Below are 18,050 nucleotides of genomic sequence, written 5' to 3' on the forward strand. Positions count from 1 at the left end.
AATGAGGAACCCTACGTGGGGATGGAGCTCAGTGTGTTTGAGAAGCAGAAAGGGGGCCGTGTCTGTGGGGTGGGATGAGAGTGGTGGGAGAACATGGTCAGAAGGCTTGAATCCTGTGCATCGTGGACCGACGGAAGGGGTTGGGACATTTTTGAACAGGCAGGGGAATCACTGGAAGGTTTACAGCTGGAGAATGGCATTTCACAAGGATGTCTCTGGCTTCTGGGTGGGACAAAGGCTACAGAGAGGCAAGCATAAAAATAGGGCTGCCTGGCTGGGCACGGTGGCTCACACCAGTAATCCCAGCACTTTGGGAGGCTGAGGCAGGTGGATCACCTGAGGTAAGGAGTTCAACACCAGCCTGGCCAACATGGTGAAACCCTGTCTCTACTAAAAATACAAAAATTAGCTGGGTGTGCTGGTGGGTGCCTGTAATCCCAGCTACTGGGGAGGCTGAGGCAGGAGAATCGCTTGAAACTGGGAGGTGGAGGTTGCAGTGAGTCAAGATTGTGCCACTGCACTGCAGCCTGGGTGACAAGAGTGAAATTCCATCTCAAAAAAAAATAGGGCCACCAGTGGGAGACAATGACAAGTAACCTCGTGAGAATGGGGGTGATTGTGTCAGAGGTTCTGCCACTATGTGCTTATTGGGTACAGCTCTCAGTCCCATTATTACGTGGGCATCACAGCACCAGCCAGGGCGAGGGGACAAGTGACCAGCCAGTCCTCCCGACCCAGGAAGGGGTTGGCTAATCCCTTTAGCATCCTTCCCTTTTTTTTTTTTTTTCTCACTATGGAGGTTTCATGTAGACTTGTGATGTGATTAGCGCAGGAGGAAAGGGTGAAGCAAGATCCCCTTAACTTCTAGAATTTTCTCCCACGATTCCTAGAACTATCAAGAAAATAAGCAAAAATTGTGTTGAATGTGAAGAGAGAAGAGCAGTGTCAGTACAAAGGCTGACCGAGCATCCATGCTGACCACAACTGTGTTTATGCCAGCTTTATGACAGTGATAGGAACTGCATGTGAATGATGTTTAAGACTCTTGAACAAAAGCACGTAGAGAATATTTCCTAGGGTGAAAAACAGAAAGGTCCCCTGTGCTCCCATTCTGTAACTCCTATTATGAATAAAATGGTGTGTTTCACATTTAATAAACAGTTGCTGGGTTGGATGGATTTCCTTTTTGTATCCAGTGGACTGAAGGTCAAAAGGTATATTTTTGTGTTTTTTTTTCTGCTCTAATTTACACCCGCTATTTACAGACCTGCCATTTCCAAGCTTAGAATACTTCCCATAATGCAGGAAAGAGGCCAGATGAAGTGGCTAGAGGTCTCCTGCCTCCTGGACATTCAGAAGAGGCAAACTGCCCCTAACAGAAGGACTTGAGTCCCTGAAACAGTGGCCTTTAACCAACCCATGCCACTATCTCCCCTTTTGTCCATACAAGGTCACTTGCTGGACAGCCTGGCTTAGGGTTGTCAGATCAGACACGGGATACCCAGTTAATCTGAATTTCAGGTACAAGATAGTTTATTTAGTATAAAAATGTCCCCAATATTGCACAGGCAGATGTTCGTGCTTATCTGAAATTCAAGTTTAACTGGGCACCCTGTATTTTTATTTCCTAAGATGACAACCACTGCCCTGGTTGGGGGTAGGGATGAGGCATTCCCAGCAGCAGGAGCCGCTTACACCACACATTTGCTGCCTCCCAGGCTTGCCCGTGTCTGGTCTCCTGCTCTTCTCTAGCAAGTGGGACTTACTGACACATAACAAGAGAGGGTTGTCACTGGTATGAGCAGCCCTCTCTCCTTGCCTAATTTTTTAGTGTCTCAATGAGACTCCTATGTCCATGTTAGGACATTCTCTCCTTCCCCTGCCTTATAGTAGAAACCATCCATCCAGCCATCATCACCTATCCACTCATCCACTCACCTGTCTACCCACCCACCCATCCATCCATCCACCCACCCACCCATCCATCCACCCACCCATCCATCAACTCATCCGTCCATCCACTCATCCATCCATCTATCCATAAGCATTCACAGAACACCTTTTAAGTACCAGACACCATGCGGCAAATCCATAATCTCCCTGAGAACATGTCATATGAAAGATTCATGTTCTGACTTGGAGCCAATTTACTGGGAACCCTCCAGACCACAGAAAGCAGCTATCATGATGAACAGAGTAGCTCTGACCCAGTATCTCTGGGCCAGCCCAACATTAGCCAAGATAACTCAGATGCCACCAGTTGCCCTGCAACCAAGCTGACCTATGAGATGTGGTACAGGGAAGCTGAAGCTAGACAGGACTGTCCTCATGTATCAGTTAGGGAAGGCTAATTGCAGGAACAAATAGACCTCAACAACATGTATAATCACAGTGGATGTTTTTTCTTGTTCAGATCACAATCCTGGCAGGGGGAGAGGTTGGTGGGGCAGTTCTCCTCAGCACATCCACCCAGGGACTCAGACTGTGGAGGTTCTGCTGTCTTCATCAGGTCACTTCCAAGGTCACCCCAGGGCCATCACCAGAAGAGGATGAGAGCTTGGTGGCATGCATGGCAGACTTTGAAGGACAGGACTGGAAGTGGCACGCATCCCTTCATCACTGGCTGTGCTACATTGGCTGGCCACGTGGTCACTACTAGTCACAAGGAAGATTAGAGAATGCAGGCCCAGGAAGAAGGTAGGGACGTGGATTTGTTTAACTTCTCTGAGCTTCAGTTTCCTCATTTGTGAAATACCCCATTGATTGCCTCTCAAAGCCAACTGGTAAAATCTCTGCCTGAACCCACTCCTGGCAAGTCTGACAAAGTCCCCAGGTGTTCCTTTCCGAGGATCAGGTCTTCCCTCCAACCCAGCAGACACTCTGAGGTTAAAGGAAAACTAATTCCTCTTCCATTTTTCCATCTGGCCTGCTTCTTGATTCTTGCCCTCCTCACACTGGCTACTGAAAACGAAGCCACTTCATTTCATGGATGTAGTTCATTTCCTGCTGGTTGCTTTGGATCTTGGATGCCTTTCTCCATGAAAGCAACCCTAAGCAGGGTGGCTTTATCCCCCAGAAGTCCAGCCCCCATCTTGTGGCTCCAGGTGTCTTCAAGGGTGGGCTGGAGGGAGGTGCTGGCCCCTGGGCAGTTCCCATGGCAGCCTGTGAGCAGGCTCCAGCAGCAGGGAGTAAGGGCAGAGCTCAGGGACCCCAGCGAAGGATGCTCTGTGAGTGGCTGGTTCCCATGGCAACTGAGGAGCAACCTCCACAACAGCTAGGAACCCAGTCACTCCAGCTAGAAGCTGTTGGGAAGCTCAGCGTCTGGAAGCCTGGAGTCACCTGTGGCTGCAGCCTGGAGCTGAACATCTTTCAAGCTGGGATATTTCCATTACCAGCATGCCCTGAATAGCTCTATTTCCGTTTCCTCAAAACATTTCTTGAGCATCTGCATGCCAAACTCTGTCATGGCTACTGGGACCCCAGCAATAAGAAGTCACTGACCCTCTCCTGGCAGGGTTCCCAGCCTAGAGGGTGAGCTAAGCACGCATCTACGACACGGAGGGATAAAGCCCATCTCACCCCGACAGGGAAGCGGTGGGCAGGAAAGCCTCGAGTGAGTGGCCCAGCAGCCACAGCAAGGACAAGGATGATGAGTAGGGAGTGGGCGGAAGGGGGAGGTTTGGGCCAAGCAGTGACCACAGCACATGCAGAGTCATAGAGAGAAACTGCAAAACACTTTTGTGATGGGGCGATCACCCTAAGGACCTCGGGTTACGTCTTGGGGGAGGTGGGCCCTCAAGCCTTCTCAGAGAGGGGCATTGGAGGAAGATGAGTCCAACGGATCCATGAATATTTTAAAAAAAATTAACTAGCTTTATATTTCTTGGATTCATAAAAAGGGAAGGAAAACTCAGGAACATTTCTCTAATACTTGGCAAATCCAGCCCACTAGCAAGTCCTGTCTACACCCTCCAAATGGTCAGGGTTGTGTTCTGGCCTTGAGGCTAAAGCTGGGATCCTCTGAAAAGGGGGGAACTTTACATTTATTCTCAAAGTGTACAACAAAGGACATTCCCTTCTTCATCCCCTTGTACCATGCATCCTTCCCTGAGACAGGAATCCCCATCCTACAGCTGTCCTGGTCTACAAGGCCTGTTCTTCCTCCTTCCTCCATGCAGCCTGGCACCCACATTTTAAGCCTCAGGCCTGCCTTAACATCCAGGTGTGCATGTTCCCGTGAGAGGCGACACACTGTTCTTGTTTTAGCACTGAGAGTCTCACGTCCTGGGGTAAAATCTCAGGACGGAGAGGAAAGACTCAGCCCGGACCTACAGGCCCCAGGACGCTGGGTGGCAGCAGGGATGAGGGAGGCAAGCCTGGCTTTGGTGCCAGGCCTGCCCAGCCAAAGCTTGATTTCTCTACTAGGCTGTGGCATCTTGATGTTAACTTAAATTTTTTGAGCCTCAGTCTCTTCTTTACCTGTTGCAAGGGACAAGGAACACCTATCTCACAGGATTGTAAATAATGCATGTTGAACACTTTCACATAAGAAGTGCTCAATAAATGATAGTTAGTACTTTCTAGAGAAGGGGCTTCCAACAGTTGCAATGTCATGTAGTAAAAGCTGTATCAAGCTTTTACATCGAATGCCAAGGGCCCAGAGGAGGAGCATATATCTTCCGTGGGAGGCCAGGGAAGCCTGACTTTGTCACCAGTTGCTTACAAGACTCCCTGGTGTGCCTCTTACACATCCACTGTGGACTGTGATTGAAAATTGGAGGAAAAGGAGGTACAGGAGAGAAAATTCTGAGCAGCAGGAGAATTTGGGCAGTGAGGTAACAGAGACACCCAGTGTGGGGAAAGTACACCCCATTTCTGAACTCCGGTGCAGTTCATGTAGGGGAAGAACCTGTAGGTGGGGGATTCTGAAATCTGCAAGAGTCCTGCTGCAGAAAGCTGGGTTTCCCAGTAGGAGGGTACAGGCATTCTAGAATTCTCAGAAACTTCTGGACCATTCTAGTCTATTCTGGAATGCACTCCCTGTGGGTGAAGCCAGAAGGCAGAGAGGAGTACACAGGAATTCTATTTGTGAGGACAAGATTGGGGCTGCTGACCTGTTTGTGAGATGCCCCTCTGAGGAGGACCACAGCAGCTTTGGAATTAAGTCTGGAGAGATCTGTACCTCTAAGGAGGCCAGGACTGCAGACAGTGGAGCAAACTTCCCCTAAGAGAGCAGCCAGGCCTCATCTCTGCTGTGATTCTTTGCTGGGAAAGTCTGAAGAATATTAAATGTGGAAAATCAGTATCTTCTTGTCCTCCTCTGTAGCTGATGTCTCCCTTGATTGTGCTGAAGTTGTGGGAAGGCGCATTTCTTTCTTATTCAGGAATTGCAGCTCCTTGATGCCCTAGTTGTGTCAGGGCCTCCATGAAGCAAGTCCTGTGCTGAGAGTGTTCCCATTTGACAGTGACGCCAAAGCAAGGATGTGATGAGCAGGTCCCCTCCACCCAAGAACGCTCCATCCCTGGGACCAATGGCTGTGATAATGGTGCTGGGGGACACAGGGCTGGAAAATACAGTTGTGCATTCAGGGAGCAGCTGGGTCTGGTGCCATTGTCACATCTACCAAGACAAAATGGTGGAGAATTAAATACCAGCCACATTTCCCTTCCCAGAGGTGTGTGAGGAGGCAGCTTGTCAACAAGGGTAGGTCTGACTCTGCTGTCCTCTGGAGACTAGAACAAATGTCCTATCTTCATTTCTCAATTGCAGACAAAAATATACTTTTCTTGTCAACCAAGAACCTGGAATGTGCCCTCTGATGATTATAGGCAGAATCCACATTCCAGAGCATGGGAACCAGGCCCATGCTCTGAATATGGTGTCCAGGCTGGCCATTGAGCCATTTTCTAGCCGTCACCTCCACAATAGGCTAATATCATCACCTGGGCCACATGTACCCTCTTTCACTGCTGCTCTATGCTTTGGGGACTACCGGTTAGTGACAATGATCTGCTGGCATTTAAAATCTGAGCTCCATAATGCTGAAATCTCCTTAGCAGTGGCATCTCATCAGAGCTTCATCTCACCAACACGGCCCTGGCAGCAGGTGGAGAGTGGCTGTGCATGCTTTGCATGTTTCCATGCACACTTCAGGGCCTTAGCAAATATAATAACTTCCTAAGTAGGACCCAAAAAATTCAGGCTCAAAAAAGGTGTGGGCTTGTGTTACAACAGATGGATTGAATGACCAGGTAAATCTGCTGCAGAGAGCAGAAATCAACCCCCCTTATTTACACCCATCTGATGTTATGGTTTTGTTTTGTTTTTGTTTTTTTTTTGAGACACAGTCTCCCTCTGTCGCCCAGGCTGGAGTGCAGTGGCACAATCTCGGCTCACTGCAAGCTCCACCTCCCGGGTTCACGCCATTCTCCTGTCTCAGCCTCCCGAGTAGCTGGGACTACAGGTGCCCGCCACCATGACCAGCTAATTTTTTTTTTTGCATTCTTTTGTTTAGTAGAGACAGGGTTTCACCATGTTAGCCAGGATGGTCTTGATCTCCTGACCTCGTGATCCGCCCGCCTCGGCCTCCCAAAGTGCTGAGATTACAGGCGTGAGCCACCATGCCCAGCCTGATCTTATGTTATTGTAGCTGTGTTATCACTGGGCTTTATTATGTTTCAAAAAAAAGATGTCATTTCTACCAAGTGCAAAAACAGCAAAGTGTATCTGCATTTTGCAGAGGCAGTTGGTGTGATAATGAGAGCGAGAGGAGATCTGGATGCAGGCAGGTCATGGTTTGAGCCAAGGAGGAGGCCCTGGGAAAAGCTCTGTCTGTTCAGATGCTCTGACCCCCATACCACACCCCTTTCCGGTCATCCAACTAAAGCATCCGTGTATGGGGGACCAGGCTGCCTCCGGTGCATATGTGCAGAACCCTGGGGTCAGGCAGGCGGGGTGCCAAGCCTCCAAGAAGGGTGGGGAGCCCTTGGGACCCGTGCTGGACGCCCTCGCTCCCGAGGGCCTGCTGGGGAGCCAGCAGGCTTCTGGATCTCATTAAGGCACAGCTGCCCTGCAGCCTGGACACCATATGCAGAGCATGGGCCTGGTTCCCATCACTTGAGTGTGGACTCTGCCTATAATCATCAGAAGGCACATTCCAGGTTTGCAGTTTAAGAGAAAAGTATACTTTTGTCCTCAATTGAGGAGCCATTCTGTTCAAAGTATTTAAGTGGTTTCCGAAGCTTAGCAACATTCCTCCTGTCTGCATCTGACCATGCAGTTTTGATTTTCAAGGTAGGCCAGCAGGATTCTTGGAGGGAACACGCCCCCCAACCCCCCATCTGAATCTGCCTGAGAGCTAACAAGTGCCAATGTGGCCAGATGAATGTGTGCTGCGCTATTTGTGATGGAGGTCCCCAGAGAGCCTTTGTGCTCTAGATCTTTATTGGAACACCCAGTAAATATTGGACTCAGGCTCCCCATTGTTTTAGTGTAGGGCTTAAATGCAGTCTCCTTCAGGCTGTCAATGTACCTTTGACCAAATTGCAGCTTGCATTCCCATACCAAATGTGGTTTCGCAGAACCCCAGCTCACTCTAACAGAACCAGCTGGGACCAGAGAGGGTCCTGGTTTGCTCTTTGTGTGCACAGCTGATTTCTCAAAGCACTAACTCACTTTTCTCTGTACATAAAGATGACACTGGGGACACCTGTCATCAGGGATCGGGGCATCAGCTGCACCCAGTCAGGCACCCACTCACCCACGTGAGACTTTCAAAGCCAGCTGGCTAAGGCTTGGGAGGTACCCCCAGGGCAAAAGGACAGCTTGTCGTTGAGTGAAGTGAACCGCCTTTAACATTTTTATAGGTTATAGCCTGCCTAGGCAGCAGCAACCAGCTATTTGATAACCAAGGGGGTGACCAGATTTCTACTGGCCAGATAACCAGAAAACTAAGGCTTCTGCATTACACCGCTTCATAAGAGAAAATAAGCATTTTAGCTACAGGGAAGCCCTGTTGTTTTTGAAAGCTGGAGGAGGTCCTCCTGCTGGCCATGGGCTTGGCTGGCCGTGGGCTAGGCTGACTCACAGTCAGAGAGCAGCCTTTGTGGCTGAGCTCAGCGGAACTCAGCGGACACCCGCACGGTGGCCCAGGGCCAGCAATAAACAAGTCAGGGCTGCTCCTGGCGCTCAGGAATCTGGGGTCAATTAGGGATCAATGGTGCCAGAGGATTTAAAACAATTGCAACCAGCCAGGCAGGCTCAGGCTGTATCAACAGTGAAATGCAGAATGTGCAGATACAATTGTACTATCCCTAAATTAAATTAACGTTCTACCCCTCGGCAAGGCATTTTTCTTAATAAGTGGGATTGCTCCTGGCCAAGCTTTAACCACTAGGGATGGCAATGACCGATGACCTAACTCGTCACTTAACCTTGGCCAAGGACACCAAAACCCTAGTCATTAGGGGACCCATCTGTGAACCTCTGTTGAACAATGAAGTCAAACCTAATCTGATTTCACCCACACCTTACATTTTTAAGCTGCAAATTTCCACAATTCTCTGACTGACAAGAACATGAGGTCTATTTGATAACCAAGGGCAATGACAGGATTTCTTTTGGCCAGATAACCAGAAAACGTAAGGCTTCTGTATTACATCGCTTCGTGAGAGAAAATAGGCATTTTAGCTCATCATTTCCTCTTGTCATTTCTCATTGTTGTGCCTACCTGGCACAATGTTAACTCTATAGAAAGGCTGACTTTTTAAAATTTTTGTGGGTACACAGTAGGTGTATATATTTATGGGTTACATGAGATATTTTGATACAGGAATGTCATACATAACAATCACAGCAGGGTAAATAGGGTATCCATCACCTCAAGTATTTATCCTTTGTGTTTCAAACAATCCAATTATATTCTTTTAATTATTTTAAAATGTATAATTAAATTATGTTTTACTATAGTCACCCTGTTGTGCTAGCAAATGCTAGGTCTTATTTCTTCTTTCTTTGTACCCATGAAAGGTTGAATTTTTAACTGCGGGCATCAGTGACTGCTAAGGATCCAGCAGAGAGGGCAGTTTGACTCAAAGAGGTGAAAAAAATCAGTGGGGTCTTTTGATCATCAGGAATCAGAAGCAACTGGAGGCAGGGACCCGGAAACCCAGGCAGGGCCACTCAGGAGAATGACAGAACCCTTCCAGGCCTCCATGCATGACAAGCTGGTATGCACACCATTTGGTTGGCTTCCTGGGTCAGAATGGGTCCTTTGTGTCCCTTCTACCATCTTTGACAGAACTGCCTTTGGTCCCCAGGCTCCAGCAATGTGGTCTGAATGGGGGTTGTCTCCCTTTCTGTGTCTCCACCTCTCTGGCCATAGTCCCCTTGAGGGAGGACACCAACCCAGTCACGGCTGATCAGGGTCTCTCCCTGAGATTTATTTGTGCTACTGCTGGTGGGGAAGAAATGTTTCTTTTTTGGCTGGGCGCAGTGGCTCATGCCTTTAATCCCAGCACTTTGGGAGGCCGAAGGAGGTGGATCACCTGAGGTCAGGAGTTTGAGACCAGCCTAACCAACATGGTGAAACCCCATTTCTACTAAATACAAAAGATTAGCCAGTCATGGTGGCACATGTCTGTAATCCTAGTTACTTGGGAGGCTGAGGCAGCTGAGGCAGGAGAATTGCTTGAACCTGGGAGGTGGAGGTTGCAGTGAGCCGCAATTGTGCCATTGTACTCCAGCCTGGGCAACAAGAGTGCAACTCCATCAAAAAAAAAAAAAAAAGAAAGAAAGAAAAGAAATGTTCCTTTTTGGAGGAGGAAGAAGAACCTCGAAGCTGCTGGTGGTCAGATTGTGTGACTGCTGGGGAAAAGGGTCCACAACCCTTTGGTGAGAATGAAGCCAAAATACAGAGAGAAGCATATGGCAGACAAGCTGGAATGTTCGGTCCAAACAGTGGCTCCCGAGGCTAGAGTACCCCCACCAGCATGAACCACTGAACCAATGAGCTTGCTTCTCTTCTTGTCCAAGTTCATGCAGCGTTTCTTGATATGACACTTGGTAATGATTTCTTAGCATTCTATATGTCATGTTACTATTATTTCTGCTGTACAATTTTGGGTACATTTTGGCAGCTAAGTACTCATTCAGATCAGCAGCTCTCCACACGTCAGGTTGGCTTGGGAAGCAAGCTTGGAAGACCAGGACGAAGGGTAGGCATAGACTTTGAGGCAAGCTTCGTAGACTATCATAGGGGTTTGCTTCTTACTATCAGAATTCAGCACTGACTCATTTATAAACCAGGAGCAAAAGAAGTGTTATTTTGATTTGCACTTGTTGAAACATTGATTATTTACCAGGAAAGGCTATAGGCAGCAAAGAGAGATCAACCTGAGATGACTTCATAATCTTTGTGACTACAGGGTTTGTCTTCTTTTGGGGGGTTCACAACCATTAACTTCCATTTCCAATGAAGAGTAGGATTTACACCAGATCAAATATCCCTGTTCTTTCCTATCTATCTATAAACCTAAATTGAGTTCAACACATACATAACACCTGAGCATGTGCTATGCTGGAGACCTAAAGGCAGCTCCTGGTCTTACAGACAGACCCATTGGTATTCCTAGTTGATTTCATCCTATTAGTTGAAAACCCTTCAGCAGACCCCACAAGGGCACTCAGAATACAGTTGTTGCTAGAAGTAGCTCTCAAGGTCCTATGTGATCTTCCGCACCACGCATGATCGCCCTCACCTCCCCTGGTGCCCAGTGGGAGCTCTGTGCTCTCTCCCTCCCCACACTCTTGTCCTCTGTGAGGATAGGGTCACACCCAGAAGCTTCTTTCCTCAGCCCCACCCCAACTATCTATACCCTACTCACCCGTGAGGGTCCCACTCCAGTCCCTCTTTCTTAAAACCTTCCCCAAGTCCAGCTCTTATACATCTTTCTGGCAGAATTTCCATAACATTTGTTTTTGAACTCTCTCAGAAAGGGACTTCTGTGATTATTTTAAACTGTAACCTTGCTGGGCACAATGTCTGCTCCTGTAACCCCAACATTTTGGAAGGCCAAAGTGGGCGGATTGCTTAAAGCCAGGAGTTGGAGACCTGCCTGGGCAACAAAGCAAAGCATCTCTACAAAGAATAATAATAAATTACTGGTTTTGATGGTGTACACCTATAGTCCCAGCTACTTGGAAGGCTGAGGCAAGAGGATCACTTGAGCTCAGGACTCTAAGGCTACAGTGAGTGAGTTATGATTGAGCTGTGATTGTGCCACTGCACTCCAGCCTGGGTGACAGAGTGAGACCCTGCCCCTAAAATAAATAAATAAGATAAACTTTAAAACAACACTGTAGGCTCATCATGTATCTGGTTATTCCTATCCAGACTCCTGGAGCCTGGCAGTGGCCGTGTCATGTGTAGGGTGTCCCATGAGTGGCAGGAAGGGCTGTTCAGGGAGCAGGGGGAGAATGCTGAGGATGGCAGGGGCACAGAGGAAGGGGAGGTGACCTCCATCTCTGCTGTAATCAGCTTCCTGGGTTCTGTTTACTGTAGGCAGCACAGCCCCTTCATCCTGTGTTGTTCTACTTTCTTTTTCTCTGCTGTCTTTCCATTCCCATGGGTTTTAATAAATACATACCTTGAGACGTGACAGAATCTATTTCCCCAATGGGCATCTATGAGGCATCAGGATGTGGTTTAGCGTCTGACCTAGTGGTGGCACCCAAAGGCATTCCCTGCAAACACAAGCCTCCTCCCTGGTCTCAAGGATCTCAATCTCTGGGCGATGTTGCTGGCAGGGCATCAGGGTTTTAAAATGGTGATATCAACTCTCTTTTTTCATAGCTACATTTCCCAACTCTGGCTTCATTCCCTAGTTCTGACACCGAGTAGCTGTAGAACTCTGAGCAGACCATTTAACCTCTCTGAGCCTTTGTTTCTTGGTGACAATAACAGTCTCTTCTTTGGCTGTTACCAGGATTAAAAGCTTCAGTGAACGTAAAGTTCCTAGCCCAGTGCCTGGAGCTTAACGGGCACACAAAAAATGTGCCAACTGCCTGCACAGGGAAATTCTGCCCAAGGGAAGCTTTAATTACAGTTGCTTTCTCTTTCTCCCAATTCAAGGATTTGCTTCCAAGACAATTAACAGACCACAGAATTCTGCTACCTATCAGCCACTGGTCGCCAACAGACTCCCAATGTTGGCACAAACACCGTCTCTCGAAGCTGGGACACTTAGACAGGTGCCAGCTTGTGGCTCCATGGCTCCCGGTGCATCCGGATCTGTGACAGTTACACAAGACGTGTGCTTAAATATTTACCATGCTCAGAGTCTCCCCAGCACGGTGGGGCTCAGAAGAAAATCCAAGAAGCAAGGCGGCTCTGGCATCATCCGCTCCTAGCTTGGTGGAGCATATGTCTTGATGGGAGGTATCGTCAACAGACTGGGCGACCTGTTGCTTTAAAAGATGAACAATAACGATCTCCTCTCAGACTCAGGAACAAATACTAGGCATATCAGATTGCTTGTGAGACTTAGGCAATTAGAATGGTTCTGTGATATCATTCCCCTGAGGGTCCAGGAACTCCCCTAAGTTCCCAGTGTGGGTGCACAGTGTGAAACGCTGGAGGAGGGGAGAAGCAGCAGACATGTTTCAGCACCACCTACGCGTCTGACATGAGCTTTTGTTATCTCATTCACGCTGCAGGAACATTGTCTCCATTATCATTATGATTGTTTCTACTTTACAGATAGGGAAACCAGCTCAGAGAAGGTGAGTAATGGACCCGAGGTCACACAGCTGTGAGACGCAGGGCCAGGATTTGGCTCCAGCTACTAGCCTGTAGCAGCATGGGCATGGCCCAGTGGAAAGACTAACACAAAGATGAACATCCCAGCACCCTTCCAAAAGGCTCTCCAAAGAGATGGGTCCCACAAAGGTGCAACAGTCTCCAAGATTCCCTGACCTCACTGTACAGCCAGAGGTTGGGAATTCCTTCCCTTAAGTCAGCCCTGATCCTGGTGCCCCCCTGTACATTTCTCCCACTGACAACTGCTCAGGGAGGTTCCTCGCCAGGGATGTAAACAGGACAGGGTCAGACCCCAAGTGCCAAGTAGGTAGCCAAGGGGGACAGAGGCCCTGTCTAGGGTACCTGAAACACACTATGGAGGGGCTGGTGGAGAGATTCTACTCTCCACTTGGATCTTACGCAGGAGCAAGGAGGTAAAAAGAGTGACCACACACACTAGATTTCACAGTCAGTAAGGACTGAAACCTCTGATCTGCTGACTGGCTTCACCAGGAGGGATATCCTGGGAGTCCCAGGCAGCCACTGGCAGCACCCCTGCTGTGGAACCCAGGATTCCTGCACCTGAAAGGGGAGTCTTCTGGGACCACTCCTGGAGCCCAGGAGGGCTGCACGTGTCAGGGGCCCACAGACAGGTGAAGAAACCCTTTAAGCCTCTTTCCTCGAGTGAAGGCCGACCTCCCCCACTCCCCGGCATTAGACATTCTGGTTTTGCAGGAGCTGCTGATGGTGGCGGTAGTAGGGGGAGAGTCTACATTTCGAATGAGCTTCCCTTCCTGGTGGTCTTGGTACAAGTCTGTGGGTGTATTTTGAAAACTGCTGCTTTCCCTCCAACACAGCTTCCCTTGCTGTCTCCTTGGACTGCAGCAGCGTTTCTTACAGCCACGTGGCATCTCAGGGAATTCTCTGGAAGATGAGGCTACACCGAAGTCAAGAGGCGTCTTTGCTGGGCTCACTGTTGAGCTGTGGAGGGCCTGTAAGGCCCCAGAGGAGGCCGTTCCTTGGACTCTGTGCAGGGAAACTTCTCTTGACTAGAAATACACCTGTCTTCTCCGCCCAAAGCCCAAAGTGGGTGGCCTGGGCTTGCAAAGAGACGAGCAGGCTCAGGGCAGGATGGCTCCCTGCAGCTCTATGGCCTCGAATGGGGTAAGGGACTCCCTGGAGGCCTGAGTAATTTGGGCACTGGGAAAACAGGGTCCTCTATTTCTAGTTTTCCTGTCCAGAGCACCCCAGGGCTGTGTGCCTGGCCTTGTGGGGGCCGTGACCCTGACCCTGGCTCTCCCTAAGGTGACCACTCACCCTAGAAACACCCTAGAAACTCACCCTAGAAGATTTGCTAAACAGCAACAGTTTAGCTAATCTTCACATCTTTGAAGGTACAAAAGTCCCATGTGGGGCCTCGGGTCAGAGAACTGCCACAAACAGCCCGTGAATTCATTAATCCTTCCCCAGCCTCTCGGTTTGGCTGCATTCCTTCATGTATCCATTCAACACATAGCACTGAGCATCTACTGTGTTTGGATTTTGGGGGAATCTTTGGGTAGCTTCAGCTACTAGGACAAAGAACACCGCCCCCTGAGATATACATGCCTGGACGATGAATCCTGTGCGTCTACACAACATTTCTGAATGTTCTGAAAAGGAAAAATAATAATAAACAAATGTGTGAGGTAGTGATTAAGATATTCACAATATTTCCCTTTAAAACAGGAAAGTCTGACAGCTAAAGAGGAGAAACGTCTTTGCTGTCCCCCCGACTCCCACTTCAATTTAGACTCCTGATTGCTTTCTTGATCTTTCAGGGTTATAACCGCGATCTCAATGACTAATAGAAAACTCCATTAGGCTCCGTCTTTATGAAGGGAATTAATGACTTCGTAAATTTAGTGCTTCGTAAACATAGGAGGGGGAGCACTTCCCTCAGGCTTGACGATTCCCTGGCAGGGAGGGAGGCTGGATAGGAAAGGAAACGCTTCCAGCCTGCTGAGAGGCCTCCTCACCCAAGCATTCTCTGCTGCTCCTTAGAAAGCCAGGCCCCACAAGGCTTAGGTGCGCCAAGATCCTGAAAAAGAAGTCAACGCGAAGGCACGAGAGCTGGGAGCCAGGGAGAAAGAGATGCGTCCGCCGACTTGAAAAAAAATACCAACTGGTGAAATTTTCAAATATAAATGCAGATTTTAATTACAAATGTGTGTCCTTGGCAAGTCCAGCTTTTGTCCTGGATTAGAGAAATCTGTTGTTCAGACAGGCCAAACCCACAGACGAATTATATTCTTTGTTCTTTCAAGCTTTTTAGGCCTGGCCAATGACATAAAATCTTTCAGGGGGAAAAACACCAAACTCTCAGGACACACATTCAGAAGGCAGCATAGGGAAGGAGAGGCTGTAGGATCGAGGTCTTGGGTTTCCTTGCTGGAATGAATGAGGCAAGTTATTTCTACTTGAAGGAGGGGAGGTGGGTGGAAGAGGAAAGGGAAGGGCTCATTTTATAGAATAATGGCATTTCCAGGGGCTTCTGCAAAGAAGTTTTCCTGGTCCACTGATGCTTTCTGCTTCAAAACTGCCCTTCTTCAGAGACCAGCCATGTCTGCTCAGCCCCTCTCTCCTTGAGAATACCACAGCAACAGTTTAGCAAATTTTCAAAGACTGATGTCTTTGAAAATACATCAGTCCCATCTGGGGCCTCAGAACTGCCATGAACAGACCCAATGAATTCATTAATTCTTCCCCAGCCTCTTGGTTTGGCTTCATTAATTCATTCAATAGATAGCACTGAGCACCTACCATGTCTGGATTTTGGGGGCAATCTTTGAGTTTCAGGAATTGAGGCCTTCGAGAAGTCTCTCAATACTTGTAATAGCAAGAGCAGCCACATATATTACTTAGGGGATAGACGATTATTTCCTTTCCTTCCTTCCTTCCTTCCTTCCTTCCTTCCTTCCTTCCTTCCTTCCTTCCTTCCTTCCTGTCTTTCTGTCTTTCTTTCCTTTTTCTCTTTCTCTCTTTCTTTCTTTTTTTTCTGAGACAGGGTGTTGCTCTGTCTTCCAGGCTAGAGTGCAGTGGCACGATTTTGGCTCACTGCAGCCTCCACCTCCTGGGCTCAAGCAATTCTCCTGCCTCAACCTCCAGAGTAGCTGGAACTACAGATTCACACCACCATGCCTGGCTAATTTTTGTCTTTTTGGTAAAGACGGGGTTTCACCATGTTGGCCAGGCTGGTCTCAATCTCCTGACTTCAAGTGATCAGCCTGCCTCGGCCTGGCAAAGTGCTGGGATTCCAGGCATGGGCCACCACGCCTGGCGATAGATGAATTTTTGAGTGACCCTGCCGTGACTTTCTCCTTGTTCCTTGATAGGTTTTGAAAGCACCAGCCAGACTAATGAAATGGTATTGCTGGTTTGCAATACTCTTGATGGAAAAAAGTTTAAATCTGTACCTCCCTCCTTTTTTTTTCAATCAGCCACCTAAGTTCTCTAATAAATTAATATACACTTTCTGAAATTAGAAAATAAAAAAAGAAGGCTTTGTGTATTACATGCAAAAGAGAAAAGTCTAGAAGATACTAGTCAGAGGTGTCTGAGTCAAAGGTTAATCAAAATTAAAGGAAATAGTAAAGAAGTAGTATAGGAAAATGTCACCACTTGGGAAGGCTGGCAGAGAATTTTAAAATCCTCTTTTCCACAAAAGATTACAGGTAACACACATTCATGAGTCCTTTGACCCAATGCAAGGTCACAGAGAGAATGTATCTGACACCTATTTTATTTGTGTTCTGCTCTATTCCAAAAAGGACTTAAGGTGGTTTGAAGAGGAGGAGACATAAAATAAAAGTTAAATATGTACTAAAAGCCTGAGCAAAAAAGAAAGGAAAGAAAAGAGTGGCAACATAAAATAGAGGCTGGAACAAGGTGAGGGAAATTAAAAGCACACCGTGCAGGTTGATATGGTTCCTTCCTGTGGGCCGTGAGTTTGGCTCTAGGAGTTAACTGGGAAAGGGAAACAGATGAATATTAAACATAAAAGCAGATCGATTGCTTAGGAGACCACTATTTTTGGAATCCAGGAATGGTAGGCCTTTCTCCTGCAGGCCTTTCCCCACCATCTGTATAATGTACTAAGCCACAGCCCTAATAGCATAATAGCATCCTGTATCTGATGTGGCCTCAAGCGGTTCAGAATTTGGAACTGTGGATCTGCTTAGGACTTCAGTTTCCTTGTTTCATAATCTGCTCCCGAATACCCCATATCTGGGCATATTCTTATTTGATTCAGGTCTGCTGTGGTCCAGATCTGTAAGACTCTGCCCTGCAAACAGACAGTATAGAAAATATCATCAGTGACCATATTATTTAACCTCCACATTATCACCCACATCCTCATGAGTGTGAGGGTCCAAATGGTACTGATAAGAAAAGTTAGTAAGAGGCAAGGTCACCTGCAGTGTCTGGGGTAACAGACACCACATCTCTGCAAGCCCCAGCCTTCAGCCTGCCAGGTGGAGGGGCAGACTCCATCTGATCTCAGAAAATTTGAGAACCGTCCAGGCACAGTGGCTCACACCTTTAATTCCAGCACTTTGGGAGGCCAAGGCTGGTGAATCACTTGAGGTCAGGAGTTTGAGACGAGCCTGGCCAACATGGCGAAACCCCGTCTCCACTAAAAATACAAAAATTATCCGGGCATGGTGGCACGCACCTGTAGTCACAGCTTCTCGGAGGCTGAGGCAGGAGAATTGCTTGAATCCTGGAAGCGGAAGTTGCAGTGAACTGAAATCATACCACCGCACTCCAGCCTGTGTGACAGAAACAGACTCTGTCTCAAAAAAAAAAAAAAATTGAGAACCTTCCCAGGGCCCACCTACAGTTGACTCTTGAGTAATGAAGGCTTTAGGGGTGCCAATCCCCACACAGTTTAAAATCTATATACAACTTTTGACTCCCCCAAACTGAACTACTAATAGCCTACTGTTGACTGGAAGCCTTATTGATAACATAAATAGTCGATTCACACATATTTTGTATGTTAATGTATTATATACTATATTCTTACAATAAAGTAAGCTAAAGAAAAGAAATTGTTATTTAAAAAATCATAAGGAAGAGAAAGTATATCGACTACTCATTAAGTGGAAGTGGATCGCCATGAAGGCCTTCAGCCTTGTGGTCTTCTGAGTAGGCTGAGGAGGAGGAGGAAGAGGAGGGGTTGGTCCCGCTTCTCAGGGGTGGCAGAGGCAG

General features: G+C 47.8%; 5 annotated features.

Moving 5' to 3' along the window:
- Positions 6,117 to 9,090: an enhancer, noted in NCBI's record as "VISTA enhancer hs1515". NCBI's record gives its function as "enhancer in: neural tube[5/11] | branchial arch[8/11] | heart[4/11]" and the evidence as "EXISTENCE:transgenic organism evidence [ECO:0001131][PMID:17130149]".
- Positions 7,968 to 8,262: a silencer, noted in NCBI's record as "tiled region #10911; K562 Repressive non-DNase unmatched - State 22:ReprW". NCBI's record gives its function as "represses a minimal TATA promoter and a strong SV40 promoter by Sharpr-MPRA in K562 cells {active_cell/tissue: K562}" and the evidence as "EXISTENCE:reporter gene assay evidence [ECO:0000049][PMID:27701403]".
- Positions 7,968 to 8,262: an enhancer, noted in NCBI's record as "tiled region #10911; HepG2 Activating DNase matched - State 8:EnhW". NCBI's record gives its function as "activates a minimal TATA promoter and a strong SV40 promoter by Sharpr-MPRA in HepG2 cells {active_cell/tissue: HepG2}" and the evidence as "EXISTENCE:reporter gene assay evidence [ECO:0000049][PMID:27701403]".
- Positions 8,016 to 8,532: an enhancer, noted in NCBI's record as "NANOG-H3K27ac-H3K4me1 hESC enhancer chr13:31366817-31367333 (GRCh37/hg19 assembly coordinates)". NCBI's record gives its function as "activates a minimal SCP1, AML or CMV promoter by ChIP-STARR-seq in primed H9 embryonic stem cells {active_cell/tissue: H9 hESC(primed)}" and the evidence as "EXISTENCE:reporter gene assay evidence [ECO:0000049][PMID:30033119]".
- Positions 13,940 to 15,139: an enhancer, noted in NCBI's record as "CDK7 strongly-dependent group 2 enhancer chr13:31372741-31373940 (GRCh37/hg19 assembly coordinates)". NCBI's record gives its function as "activates an origin of replication core promoter dependent on BRD2, BRD4, P300/CBP, MED14 and CDK7 cofactors, with strong dependence on CDK7, by STARR-seq in HCT116 cells {active_cell/tissue: HCT116}" and the evidence as "EXISTENCE:reporter gene assay evidence [ECO:0000049][PMID:35650434]".

This window comes from Homo sapiens, chromosome 13 (assembly GCF_000001405.40).
Source record: "Homo sapiens chromosome 13, GRCh38.p14 Primary Assembly".
NCBI lineage: Eukaryota > Metazoa > Chordata > Mammalia > Primates > Hominidae > Homo > Homo sapiens.